The following is a 14404-nucleotide window of genomic DNA, read 5'->3' on the forward strand; positions in this document are numbered from 1 at the left end:
GGAAATTATCTTTATAATTCTATGTAATATGCGATGTAGCTATATCCAGCATTATCAAACAGTATTTTGTTTTTAACATGAAATTATATGGCCACTTACACAGCTAAAAAATGACATATTATGTCACTCAATTTTCATTTTGCTAAAAGGTCATCAAATTAATAACTCAGAAGTTAGTATTTCTAGGTACCTCGGTTCTTAAATCCTTGTACTATAACATATGTTTCTTTCTTTTTATTTTGAGACAGTCTCACTCTGTCGCCCAGGCTGGTGCGCAGTGGCGCGATCTCGGCTCACTACAAGCTCCGCCTCCCGAGTCCACACCATTCTCCTGCCTCAGCCTCCCGAGTAGCTGGGACTACAGGCGCCCGCCACTACACCTGGCTAATTTTTGGTATTTTTAGTAGAGACAGGGTTTCACCATGTTGGCCAGGCTGGTCTAGAACTCCTGACCTCAGGTGACTCACCCGCCTTGGCCTCCCAAAGTGCTGGGATTACAGGTGTGAGCCATCGCTCCTGGCTATATCATGTTTCTTAGAATGTCCCTGCGATGTCCCTGTGATGTACTGCCTTAGATTTATGCACTATACTATATTAGTTACATTTGATAATATAATTTACAAGGTAGGCAATAGTAGTGAAGTAAAACAAGACTTCTTGAAGTACCTTGACATCATAGAAGAAAAATATTAAAATGTAATACTCATATAGTATACACAATTTTCTATTTCAACTTGTATATTTTAAAATGTTTTATTACACCAAAAATTAAAATATAAACATCCTATCTTACCTAAAAGTTCAATAATTCCTGAATGAATATCAAAATACTCATCAGTTAATAGGCAATCTCTCTCTTGAGCATAGTATTTTGCTATGACATCAAAGAGTATCTTCTTCTGACTGTTCAATCTTGTCTCTTCATTTCTGTTTTGCATTAACTGCTGACTAACTGTAACTATTAACTGGTCAGGGAAATACTCCAAGCATTCAATTGCTGCATTAAGCCAGTTATCGATTCTAGAGGGAAAATGCAAACCAAAATAAAGCAATGGTTAACATTTCCATTTAACTAAAGCACTATTTGATAAAACATGAAAAAATCTGGCTTATTTAAGCTAGATAAATCTAAAGAAGAAATTATTTTTTGGGAGAAGCATTTCAATACATTTTGCTGGATGAGTGAAGGACTGTATGAGAGGGAATGGCTGTATTCCTTACTGAATACCACCACACCTTTATGGACTTTTATTTTCAAGAAGTTAAAATAATTTTTAATGAACCCTTTATTATTTATATCTAATTTTGTTAGTAGTTCCCCTCCCTTTTCCTGCTCTGATGAGTTGCGTATGGTTCTATTATTATTTGAAAATAAGATACCAAATATTTCCCCAACCCAGATGAACTGTTTACCCCACCACACATTGTTTTCCCTTTCTTATTTGCCCACCCCAATAAGATAAGAAATTTAGGGTCCTGTCACTCCCCTGCCCTCCGGTGACTCCTTTGGAAGGCCTTCATTTCTCCCTTTTCCATATCTGCTGCCCTCCCAACCCCCAGGTTTTGCCAAGATAGGTTAGTATTTACTGTAATTTCCCTTAATGGTATGTCCCTTTTTTTTGACTTTTTTTTTTTTTTTTTTTTTTTTGAGGCAGCATCTTACTCTGTTGCCCAGGCTGGAGTACACTGGCATGATCTTGGCTTACTGCAACATCTGCCTCCTGGGCTCAAGCAATCCTCTCATTTCAGTCTCCCGAGTAGCCAGGACTATAGGCGTGCACCATCACGCCAGGCTAATTTTTGTATTTTGCATAGAGACGGGGTTTTACTATGGTTGCTCAGGCTGGTCTCAAACTTCTGGACTCAAGCGATCCATCTGCCTTGGGCTTCCAAAGTGCTGGGATTATAGGTGTGGGCCCCTGTGCCTGGCCTGAATTCTTCAAAATCCTCAAGTATCTTTCTTTCCTTCCTCTCTACCTCCCTCTCTCCTTTCCTTCCTTTCTTTCTCCCTCCCTCCTTCCCTCTCTTTCTTCTTTTTTAAATATGACAGAGGGTCTTGCTATGTCACCTAGCTAGAGTGCAGTGACATAGTCATAGCTCACTCTAACTTCCAACTCCTGGGCTCAAGTGATCCTTTCACCTCAGCTTCTTGAGCAGCTGGGACTATAGACATGTGCTGTCTTGCCTAGCTAATTTAAAAATTTTTTTTTCAGAGAGACAGGGTCTCACTATGTTGCCCATGCTGGTCTTGAATTCCTGGCCTCAAGCAATCTTCTCAGCTTAGCCTCCCAAGTTGCTGGGATTACAGGCCCTTTGGCCCTTCTTTCCTCCTTTCTCTTTTTTTCTCCTGACAGATGAACAGTACATCTTGCCTAATATGTGTGATTCATTGTCTTCTAGATCCTAGTATTGCAGATGAAAAGACTAATGACAGTTTGATTGCTTTTCTCTTACAGCTAATCTGCCCTTTTTGCCTGGAAGCTTTTTAAGGCAGACTGGCTGCTGTGAGTTTCCTGCAGCGGCACCTGCAGAAATCCTGTTTCTTTTCTGGTGTCCCTATACTATCCCTGACTCAAGGGCAGGAAGACTCAGCCCTTTGTTTGGGTCTTTCTTGGCCTACTGCGAATAAGAGAAATCTGTCATGTACAAACAGGACCATAGTTGACTAAGAGGGTCCAGAGGTCTCTGATCACTAACCTCTTCACAAGATCTGAAGTTTTCTGTTCCTCAGCCTTGGTGTCTCATCTTCTTTTCTTGTTTGGCTCACATGGGAGGAAGCACTATATCAGTTCTCCCTGCTGGAATCCCAACAGTACTCAAGGTCTAATGCCTATAGTTTCCAGCAGCTGCTTTATTCAGAAGTGAGAAATAGCTTGGCGTTGGGAGTAAAAGGGAAAGGAGCCTCATTCAGGGTTCCTTTAATCTCTTATCTACAAATTAGGCCGATTTTATGATAGGGCTTATCTTTCAGACTATAATTTTTTCTCTCATGTATGTCTCCCCCTTCTAGACTACGGTTTCTTTTAGGGCAGGGATAAATAAGCTGGTAGAAACTGGGATGGTTGCATTATTTAGGGTAATAAAATGGAAATGACAGAATTTTGGATGATGCGGGGAGAAGATGATTGACATACAAATGAATTCGTACGAACCAAACCACTCTGATTTCCAGTGATCTTATAGGTCATGACCAATGGCTTTATTAGATCAAATGAGGATTCATAATGATAATTTATAAAAGAGAGATAGTATAAGCTTATAACATGAATATTTTCTCACATCCTAAAATACTAAGGGCAAATATGTGAAAAAAACTGTTTACAAATTATTTGACAATAAAAATGGTCACTTACTCAGGTAGACATAAGCTTGGAATAAGTTCTCTGTCTAGGCAAGTGTTAGTGATAACAAGATCTTCCTCTTTGTTTAGTTGAAGATTTTGTGTTTTAACTGGAGGCTCCAAAATATTGTCCAAGAATGGAAGGTGAATCAATTGAAGAAGACATAATAATGTTTGTTCTTTCCAAACATCTTGAAAAGGAAAGTAATGCAATGATCAAGATTGGTAAATAAAACATACACATTCAACCAATATTATAAATCGTTCTATTTCTAAATAATACAAAAGTAAAACTAGTTCAGTAGTAATATAATGGGTTAATTTAATGCTTAGATAATTTACATTTGTTATATTACAATTTTTCAAGATTGATCTTAAACATCAGAGTTATGAGCCATATTAATTTTATTTTCTGTTATGCTGATTATAAAGATATATTATCTAGCTCTTAAGGCCAACATTAATTCTAAATATAAAAAACTACTAGTCATGCTTATAACTTATATTACACATCTGAGAGAATGAGATTACTAATTATTTATCTTTCTATTTATAGCAACATAGATAATTGTAGTTCATTGTTTTTTGTTTGTTTGTTTTGTGTTTTTTGTTTTTTTTTTTTTTGAGATGGAGTCTCGCTTTGTTGCCCAGGCTCGAGTGTAGTGGTGAGATCTCAGCTCACTGCAAGCTCCGCCTCCCAGGTTCACGCCATTCTCCTGCCTCAGCCTCCTGAGTAGCTGGGACTACAGGCGCCCACCACCATGCCCGGCTAATTTTTCGTGTTTTTAGTAGAGACGGGGTTTCACCGTGTTAGCTAGGATGGTCTCGATCTCCTGACCTAGTGATCCGCCCGCCTCGGCCTCCCAAAGTGCTGGGATTACAGGCGTGAGTCACTGCGCCAGGCCAGTTCATTGTTTTTAAACTAAAATACAGTATTAGGCTAATTTTGTCTTGGATTTCCAGTCATTCCTGTTAAGTTCCTGTTAAGTTTTTCATCACCCTAACCATCATCATAATACTTTGTTTTTCCTTTATTTTTATTTTTATTTATTTACTTACTTTTTGAGACAGAGTGTCACTCTGCCCAGGCTGGAGTGCAATGGTGCAATCTCGGCTCACTGCAACTTCCATCTCCCCGCTGAAGTGATTCTCCTGCCTTAGCCTCCAGAGTAGCTGGGACTACAGGCATGCACCACCCTGCCAGACTAATTTTTGTATTTTTAGTAGAGACAGGGTTTCACCATGTTGGCCAGGCTGGTCTCAAACTTCTGACCTCAAGTGATCCACCCGCCTTGGCCTCCCAAAGTGCTGGGATTACAGGCGTGAGCCACTGTGCCCAGCCTGTTTTTATTTATTTATTTATTTTTTGAGATGGAGTTTTGTTCTTGTTGCCCAGGCTGGAGTGCAATGGCACACCACAGCCTCTGCCTCCCAGGTTCAGGAGGTTCACCTGCCTCAGCCTACCGAGTAGCTGGGATTACAGGCATGCGCCACCACGCCCAGCTAATTTTGTATTTTTAGTAGAGACGGGGTTTCTCCATGTTGGTCTGGCTGGTCTTGAACTTCCAACCTCAGGTCATCTGCCTGCCTTGGCCTCCCAAAGTGCTGAGATTACAGATGTGAGCCACTGTGCCCAACCTATTTTTTGTTTTTTAAGGCTAGTCAAGTGAAGCAGTGGAAGTGGAGAAGGAACAAAGAAATCTGTTAACTGGTTGTTATCAATTAGTTGTAAACACCATTGCATTTGGACCAGCCTGGTTTTCCTTTTATTTAACAAAACTACAAAAGCAACAGTTATAGTAAGTTTCTTGCAGAGCTCCCAAGCCAGTGGCCTGTGGACTAAATTTGGCCCACAGCCATGATCTGTTTGGTTATAAAGTACTTTGAAGAAAATTAATGTATAAAAACGGGAGATTTCATGTGAAATTCTAAAATGTATTGATAGATAGATAGATAGATAGATAGATAGATAGATAGATAGATAGATAGGGTCTTGCTCTGTCATCCAGGCTGGAGTGCCATAACATGATCATAGCTCACTGCTGTCTCAAACTCCTGTTCTAAGTGCCAGGGATATAAAAGTAACCAAAACAAGCAACAATAAAACAAAAACAGGATGCCACAAGAAAGGAAATTCTGAGAACTTGAAAGTGATTTGAGGAAAAAGTAAAAAAAGAAGAAAAAAAGGAAAAGTGTTTTTAGGTATCAATAAGAAAACTGGAGGATACATTTGAAGATACTTCCTAGTAGGTAAAACAAAAAAATCCCAAAAACATGAACAATAAGAGAGAAAAATATATACAAATTAGAGGACTAGTTAAGAAGGTCCAATATCTGAATAAGAGATCGGAATTAGAACAGAGAAGGTAGAGTTAGGGAGAAATGGGGAAAATCACCAATGAAATAAAAAAAACTTCTAGATTGCAACAGCCCAGTAAGTAAAAATAGATTTACCTTAAAGTATATTACTTTAGAATTTCAGAAAGTGTGGGACAAAGAGAAGACTCTTAAGTTTTGGGGTGGAGATGGGGAACAAATCAGATACAAAGTGTCATTAATCAGAATGGCTTTAGTCTTTTTTCCTTCCTTCATATCACAGCCAAGGCTTTGCAACACCAACACAAGAAGCTAGAAGGCAATGGGGAAATACCTTTAAAAGTATTTGAGAAATTATTTCCACCTAGAATTCTGTCAATCAAATAAGAGGCTAGAATACAGAAAATTTCAGAAATACAAACAAAAAAATTATCTCAGGCCAGGCGCGGTGGTTCACGTCTGTAATCTCAGCACTTTGGGAGGTTGCAGTGGTCAGATTGCTCGAGGCCAAAAGTTCGAGACCAGCCTGACCAACATGGTGAAACTGTGACTCTACTAAAAACATAAAAATTAGCTGTGTGTCATGGTGTGTGCCTGTAATCCCAGCTACTTGGGAGGCTGAGGCACAAGAATCACTTGAATCCAGGAGGTAGAGATTGCAGTGAGCCGAGATCGCACCACTGCACTCCAGCCTGGGCGACAGGGCAAAAATCTGTCTCAAAAAAAAAAAATATATATATATATCCCATGTACCCTTTGTCAGGAAACTACTAGAAAATGTGTGCCACTAAAATCAGCAGTAAACAAGAAAAGGCACAGAAGGCAGGACATAGGAGATCTACAATATAACAGGCAAAGGTAATCCCCATGATCATGGTAAAGGCAGACACCAGGATGACAACCATGCACCAAGTATAGAGGGCAGCCAGTCCGTTATTGAGACATGAGAAACCTTATGAAGGGGATTTCCCCAAGAAGATGAAATTGATAAAAATACCTGATACACCTGAGCATGCCAGCAGGTGATTTGGATAAGTGTTGGAGTGTTTGTAGGTGAAAATGTGTATGAATGTAAAAAACCAAGCAAAACAGAAAACAAAAATGTATTTGGTCTAAGGAAAACAAAACGTCGTAAAGGAAAAGGAATAATATATATTTTCAGTTATAACAACAGATGGTTTATTACATACCTCAACTCTGAATAGCTCTTTTCTACAAAATAATGTAAACATGCTGTATTGCTCTAATCAAAGCAATCTAATTATATTAAAAGATGGGGGCATAGGGAAGTATTCGTAAGATAGATACAGGGAGGGAAAGAGACACAAATCCCCATTTTCCCTTTTAGAAAATTAATGGATGTGCCTAAAACTGAAAAATCATAAAGTAACAATATAAGCATGCTATTTAGAGATACGAGTTGTAAATGGCCTGTCTGGGGAGGAGGGAATGAAAGGGTGGGGAACTGCTATTTTTTTGTAACAAAACTAGAACAGCTATTTGAACGGTTACGTTATGTGCCTATAAAACAAGGGTAAGGATAATACTTTTAAAAACCCACATTAGAGTGACAGCTTTCATTCCCTCCTATGTCTTTTTTTTTTTTTTAATGTGATCCTTCTGATTCTGTTTCCCTAACTATAAAATGCAAGTTTTACCCTTCACTTTACAGGCTACTGTAAAATCATGGATAAATATAAAATGCATAACAAATTGCTTAGCACAGAGAAAGGTCCAAAATAAGTGGAAATTATTCTTATTATTACCTATAGAATTTTTTTTTTTTGAGACAGAGTTTCGCTCTTGTTGCCCAGGCTGCAGTGCAAAGGCGCGATCTCCATTTACTGCAACCTTTGCCTCCCGGGTTCAAGTGATTCTCATGCCTCAGCCTCCAGAGTAGCTAGGATTATAGGCACGCACCACGACACCTGGCTAATCTTTGTATTTTTAGTAGAGATGGGGTTTCATCATGTTGGCCAGGCTGGTCTTGAACTCCTGACCTCAAGTGATCCACCCACCTTGGCCTCCCAAAGTGCTGGGATTACAGGCGTGAGCCACCGTGCCCTGGCCTTTACTGATAAATCATATCCACTTTTAGTTTGAAATTTCTAGAGGTACGTCATGACCTCAAGAAAAAATAATGGGAAAAGTTATTTTTTCATTTGTACTAGATAAAAACTGTACTTCTGGGGGACTCTCCTGCTTGCCCTTTAAATATTAGTCTTCATCAGAGTTCTCTTACGGCCAGGCATGGTGGCTCACACCTATAATCCCAGCACTTTGGGAGGCCAAGGCGGGTGGATAACTTGAGGTCAGGAGTTCAAGACCAGCTTGGCCAATATGGCAAAACCTCATCTCTACTAATAATACAAAAAATAAATAAATAAATAAAAAATTAGCCAGGCATGGTGGCACACGCCTATAGTTCCAACTACTCTGGAGGCTGAGGCACAAGACTTGCTTGAACCTGGGAGGCAGAGTTTACAGTGAGCTGAGATCACACCACTGCACTTCTGCCTGGGCGAAAGAGTGAAACTGTGTCTCAATGGCCAGCCAAGGAGGCTCACGCCTGTAATCCCAGCACTTTGGGAGGCCAAGGTGGGTGGATCACTTGAGGTCAGGAGTTCGAGACCAACCTGGCCAACATGGTGAAACCCGTGTCTACTAAAAAATACAAAAATTAGCCGGGTGTGGTGGCGGGCGCCTATAGTCCCAGCTACTCTGGAGGCTGAGGCAGGAGAATCACTTGAACCTGGGAGGCAGAGGTTGGAGTGAGCCAAGATCACAACAGTGCACTCCAGCCTGGGCAACAGAGCGAGACTCCGTCTCAAAAAAAAAAAAAAAAAAAGAGTTCTCTTTTAGTTCTTCTTCTCAATTCTACACCCTTTCTTTGGGCACCCTGTATTTCCTTTATCATGCCAATGTTAACTATTGTTGATAAATCACAGTCCTCCAGTGTGCAAGTCATAGCTAGTCTTGCTTCTGTCATGGTTTGACCAAATGGAGTAAAGGGCCATTAATGAATTTTGTATGTATCTCTCCTAACTGCCCTGGCTATGGTGCTCTTTTATCTGCCATTAGTGGCATTTTAAGGAGAAAAACACAAGTAGATGAAGTAAATAGTAAAGAGGAGTGGTGCAACAGGTAGTTTAGCTAGTTTGTTCTGAGAAAGGGAAAGAGTAGGAAGATGTTTGGGAGGAGTTTACACAATGGACAAAGGATACACTCATTAAGAAGATGGTCTTGCAGGACAAATACTAAGGACTGTGGTGAGTCCGTATGTTTTCTCTTGCAGTGCAGACTATAGCACCTCCAGTTAATCTGGTCACAGTCATTGTAAAAAATGAATTAAGTGTTATTAGATGTATATTGCCTCACCTGTCTTATCTGATGTAATTGCTGTGTAGAAGGAAACTCCTACAGGGAAGAGAAGGAGGGAGTCAACACACTAATACACTACTTAAATCACATTTAAAACGTCAGTTCTTGGAAACAGTAAAAATATTAGTGGTTGCCTAAGGTTAGAGAGAAGGGAGGAATGAGTAGGTAAAGCACAGAGAATTTTTAGGGCACTGAAACTATTCTGTATGATACTATAATGACAGATAATATGTCATCAAAAATTTGTACAAACCCATAGAATGTACAACACCAAGGCTGAGCCTTAATGTAAACTATGGGCTTTGGGTGAAAATGATGTATCAATGTAGATTCATTGATTATCACAAATGCACCACTTGGTTGCAGGATGTTGATAATGGGGAAGGTTGTGTGTGAGTGGAAGCAAGGGGTATGTGGGAACTGTACTTTCTGCTCTATTTTGCCGTGACCTTGAAACTGCTTATAAGAACCTGTTAAAAAGAAGTTAGTTCTTCCTTACCATGTTCTGAAAAAATAATGAAAACAAATTACCTTCTTTTGAAAGCCGGAGAAAAGGTTTCTGAACTGTGATATTTGGACATAAAGCTGGATTCCCATTTATTGTATGAATAAGTTCCTCAATTCTTTCCTCACCAATCTCCTGTGCTAGAGGATTTGAAATCATTTCATATCCTGGTCTGTTAAAAAATAATACGTGGCTCTTTTCATTATACACAGAACCAAAATTTCAAATATATATTTAAATTAATGTATTAAAATTTATTCATACATTCTCTATTTCCAAAAACGATTTCAGGCAGCTTATAATAAAAGATGCAAATAATTCATTTAATAGACTATCACCAAAAGAGGACAAATTAGAATTCTAAATAAAGAAGAAAAGCATATATGCTAATTCTAAGGTTAACATAGTTGTTATGATGGAATAGAAAATTTTTGTTCTGAGTTTCCAGAAAACCTTGGCTTTTAGTACACTGGCTAAGTCATTTTTCAAATTAGAAAGCATATCCATTCCTTAGAAGACATAGTTTTTCCTGGTATAAACTCTGAAAAATTTATGTGATAATGTCTTCAACAACTAAGCAAAACAGAAAACAAAACTGTATTTGCTCTAAGGAAAACAAAATGTTGTAAAGGAAAAGGAATAATATATATTTTTGGTTACAGCAACAGATGCTGCTATATTGGAAACAGTAAAAACTACTGAGATATAATTCACATCCCATAAAATTCACTTTTTTTTGAGACAGATTCTTGCTGTGTCGCCCTGGCTGGAGTACAGTGGCACAATCTTGGCTAACTGCAACCTCCACCTCCCCAGCTCAAGCGATTCTTGTGCCTCACTCAGCCTCTTGAGTAGCTAGGAATACAGGCACCTGCCACCACATCCCGCTAATTTTTGTATTTTTAGTAGAAACGAGGTTTTGCTATAATGGCCAGGCTGGTTTCGAACTCCTGATCTCAAGTGATCTGTCCGTCTTGCCTCAGCGTGGGCCACCCTACCTGGCCAAAAGTCACCCTTTTAAAGTGTATAACTCAGTGTTTTCTAGTACATTCACAAAGTTGTGCAGCCATCACTATTATCTAATTCTAGTCTATTGCATCATTCCAGTTTTAGAGGAAATGCATAAGTGGATTAATTTTCACATGGATTTTTTTTTTTAATTGGCTTCTGAAAAAAGTACACATTCGAGTTTAGCTCAATAAAGACAGTTCTTCTAGGGTCTAAATAAAATATATTACAGTATCTTAGGTAACACTAACCTCAAGGTTTCATTGAACTCATTCTCAGCATCCTTTTGTCTTTTGCAACAATCGTAAGATGATTTATTGCCTAGAAACCTGTAGAGACTAATGTTGGAATCTTCAAATTCTAATTCCTTTTCTTTTTTGAAAAGCTTCTTCATTCCTACTGGTTCAAATACTTTGTGATTCATTAGAACTTGGCAAAGATGAACCCCTTTAAGACAAGAGATGTCATTGCTACTTAGGCACGTGTTTTGCATAAGATGACTTAAGACCACATCGACAGCATCAGAACCAGTGAAACAGTCTTTGTATGTCTGTAAATGATGCCTCCTTCTTTTTATTTCCACTTGGGCCTGAAGAGAGTGAATAATACCATCCCATAGCTGAGTAGCTTGAAAAGGACCAGAGCATCCTGAAAAAAATTAAATATGCATTTCTAACAAATCTAGATTATACAAAAATATGCAAATTTTTCAGTTTTGACAACCTTATGCTTGTTGAAGGCATATCTGCTGGTAATGTCCTTCTTACGTGTCATCTCACATCTTACATAAACTATAGTATATTTACTAAGTTGCACCATGTGGGTCTGCCAATAAAAACAGAGTAAACCTGGGAACTTGCTTTACTGATGTGAAATACATTATTATATGAATTTATATACCCTTATTACATGGTTAACTACTAGTTATACCGAATCTTCAAGAATGTTATTTTAGGGCATATTTAAAAGTAATGCAAATACACTTGAGTATTGATTATTACAGAGTTGTGGCTTCACCAAACTCTTTGCCTTTTCTTTTTTCTTTTTGCCCTTTTGAACAATGGTTAGTTCTTCATTAGGGAGATCAAGGCAAAGAACTAAATAATCAATTTTTTTAATTGTTTAAACCAGCTGTTTAAAAAGTTTGCTAAGGCCAGGCACAGTGGCTCATACCTGTAATCCCAGCATTTTCAGAAGCCGAGGCAGGCAGATCACCTGAGGTCAGGAGTTTGAGACCAGCCTGGCCAACATGACGAGACTCCACCTCTACTAAAAATACAAAAATTAGCCGAGCGTGGTGGCATGCGCCTGTAATCCCAGTTACTCGGGAGGCTGAGGCAGGAGAATCTCTTCAACCCAGGAGATGGAGGTTGCAGTGAGCTGAAATCGCGCCACTGCACTCCAGCCTTGGTGACAGAGCAAGACTCTGTCTCAAAAAAAAAAAAAGTTTGCTGAAAAATGAAAGAGGGTCACATACCCACTTGAGCTGAATACTTGAATATAACCCAATTATCTAAATTATGAAGTGAAACTACCAAACATTGTAGAGATATTGGGCTCTAGAAAGTGCTTCCACTGTTGCTCCCGATTAAGGGGTTTAGATAAAGATGTGCCTTATTTTACATGGACATATTGCATAATGAAAAAAAATTGCCTTATCACATGCTGAACTTACTCTCCAAATAACAGAAATCCCACTTCTCTGGGCAAAAAGAAAAAAAAATTGCTGAGAAATAATGAAAACCTAAAAACAATCAAAATGTCTATTACTGGCCAGGTTCAGTGGCTCATGCCTGTAATCCCAGCACTTTGGGAGGCTGAAGCAGAAGGATCGCATGAACTCAGGATTTCAAGACTAGCTTGGGCAACACAGGGAGACTCTATAAAAAATACAAAAAATTAGTGGGGCATGGTGGCGTGCTCCTATAGTCCCAGCTGCTCAGGAGGCTGAGGTGGGAGGATCACTTGAGCCAGGGAGGCCGAGGCTGCAGTGAGCTGTGACCCTGCCACTGCACTCCAGTCAGGGCAACAGAGTGAGACCCTGTCTCAATTAGAAACAAAAACAGTTGGCCAGGCGCAGTGGCTTAAGCCTGTAATCCCAGCACTTTGGGAGGCTGAGGCAGGTGGAGGTCAGGAGTTCAAGACCACACTGGCCAACATAGTGAAACCCCATCTCTACCAAAAATACAACACAAAAAAATTTAGCTGGGCATGGTGTCGCACGCCTGTAATCCCAGCTACTTGGGAAGCTGAGGCAGGAGAATTGCTAGAACCAGGAGGTGGAGGTTGCGGTGAGCCGAGATCACGCCATTGCACTCCAGCCTGGGCAAGGGAAAAAAAACAGTCTATTACCTGAAAAAAACAGTTAAATAAATTATGGTATACCCTTACTATAGAATAGTAGCCAGCCATTAGAAAGAATGAAGTAGAGCTATGTTTATAGTGTGCAAGGATCTCATTAAGTAGGGAAAAAGAAAAACCCAAAACAAAAATTTTTTAAAAATGAGCTGAGCAGAACAACTTGTATATTATTATCCTACTTAGGTAAAAATGAATTCCCAACCTATGTAAAAATGTATGTAAATAAATAGAAAGATCTGGAAGAATAAACTTCAAACGAGTAACCTTGGGGAAGAAGGATTGTAATGGTGGCTGATGAAAGAGGATGTACCCTTTTAAAGTGTACAATTCAGTGTTTCTAGTACATTCACAAAGTTGTGCAGCCATCACTATTATCTAATTTCAGACCATTGCATCATTCCACAAAGAAACCTATAGTTCGCAGTCATTCTTCATTCTTCCGTACCCCAGTAAAATTTTAATTAAAATTAAATTTAATTAAAATTAATTAAAAAAATTAAAGAATGATAAGGGAATAACTTAGAACTTCTAGAATGTTTTTTCTAGATTTGCAGGGGGAAGTGGGTAGAATCCAAGAACTTAAGCTCTCTTCTCCAACTATGCATAACCGCAAAAGTATGCCCAACTATACATATGTTTACGATAAAATGACAGAAATAAAAATCCACCACCCTCAAATTCCTTCTGTAACAGAAGTTACCCGTCTAATCACTCAAGAAATCTTATCCCCAGACATTGTGGGCAGAGCGGAGACTGAGGAGGGGAGGCCAGAAAGTGATGGGCGGAGGTGGGCAGGAGGGTACTCGACGGGGTAGGTGGAAAATACAGCGGTACAGCCTGTTTTCCATAGACAGTCTACCTCTCTAACCTTCATTAAACAAGTAGGCTAGATTAAAGAAATAACTCCTCTAGCTCAAGGAATTTGCCCTCTAGTACATTAACCCCTTGTTGCTGTAAGTGTAGCCTAGGGACCAGCAGCATTGGTGCCATCTGGACATGTATTAGAAACGCAGATTATCAGACCCTACTCCTCAATCAGAATTTGCACTTTCACAAGATCCTAGGGATTCGTATGTATATTAAAGTTTGAGAAAAAACGCTTTCCTGCACGCTCCAAGGGCACTTCACCACAGTAACCCCTAAAAAGCCTCAGTCCTGGGTCCCCCAGTCCAGTGCCTGGTAGGGCAGGAAGGGGGCGGGGCTAGGAAATGGGCGGGGCCCTGGACCAATGAGGAGCAGAGTCCCAGCCGCCTGCTCCCTTCAGCTGCCCCCTCCACCTTCACTGCACATTTGGCTAGGATATACAGGGCTACCTGTCCTCCTTTTCCGGCAGAAGCCATCTCTACGGTTCCTGGAACTTGGCCCGTTCAGCCCTGGGCCCGGAAGCTCGTTCTGACTGACAAGTCTACGGAACCTCGGAGTCAAAAGAACCGCCATAAGCTCGCGCGCTGGCTCCTCCCCTGGCACCATAGCCCCGCCCCACCTGACACCCG

General features: G+C 39.8%; 1 protein-coding gene across 24 annotated transcripts in view, besides 1 other annotated feature; it reads right to left on the reverse strand.

The window, feature by feature from the left end:
* The window catches only part of DEPDC4 (DEP domain containing 4), a 50338-nt gene that overhangs the window by 21061 nt on the left and 14873 nt on the right, over positions 1–14404 (reverse strand). For 5 of the 24 annotated variants that reach the window (NM_001387206.1, NM_001387205.1, NM_001387207.1 and 2 more), the window contains exons 1-5: positions 14225–14384; positions 10802–11198; positions 9569–9714; positions 3354–3531; positions 794–1020 (exon numbers count right to left, since the gene is read on the reverse strand). In NM_001387206.1, coding sequence (NP_001374135.1) covers positions 794–1020; positions 3354–3531; positions 9569–9714; positions 10802–11198; positions 14225–14381 — 1105 coding nt within the window. In that variant the 5' untranslated portion in view covers positions 14382–14384. Of the gene's footprint in view, positions 1–793; positions 1021–3165; positions 3532–9034; positions 9074–9568; positions 9715–10801; positions 11199–14224; positions 14385–14404 lie in introns of those variants that run through there. The other 19 variants (XR_944493.4, XM_017018779.3, NM_001387201.1 and 16 more) reach the window with 12 other exon arrangements.
* Positions 14227–14306: an enhancer, noted in NCBI's record as "active region_6856". NCBI's record gives its function as "activates an Ori minimal core promoter by ATAC-STARR-seq in GM12878 lymphoblastoid cells {active_cell/tissue: GM12878}" and the evidence as "EXISTENCE:reporter gene assay evidence [ECO:0000049][PMID:35858748]".

Source organism: Homo sapiens, chromosome 12 (genome assembly GCF_000001405.40).
Source record: "Homo sapiens chromosome 12, GRCh38.p14 Primary Assembly".
In the NCBI taxonomy this organism is placed as follows: Eukaryota; Metazoa; Chordata; class Mammalia; order Primates; family Hominidae; genus Homo; species Homo sapiens.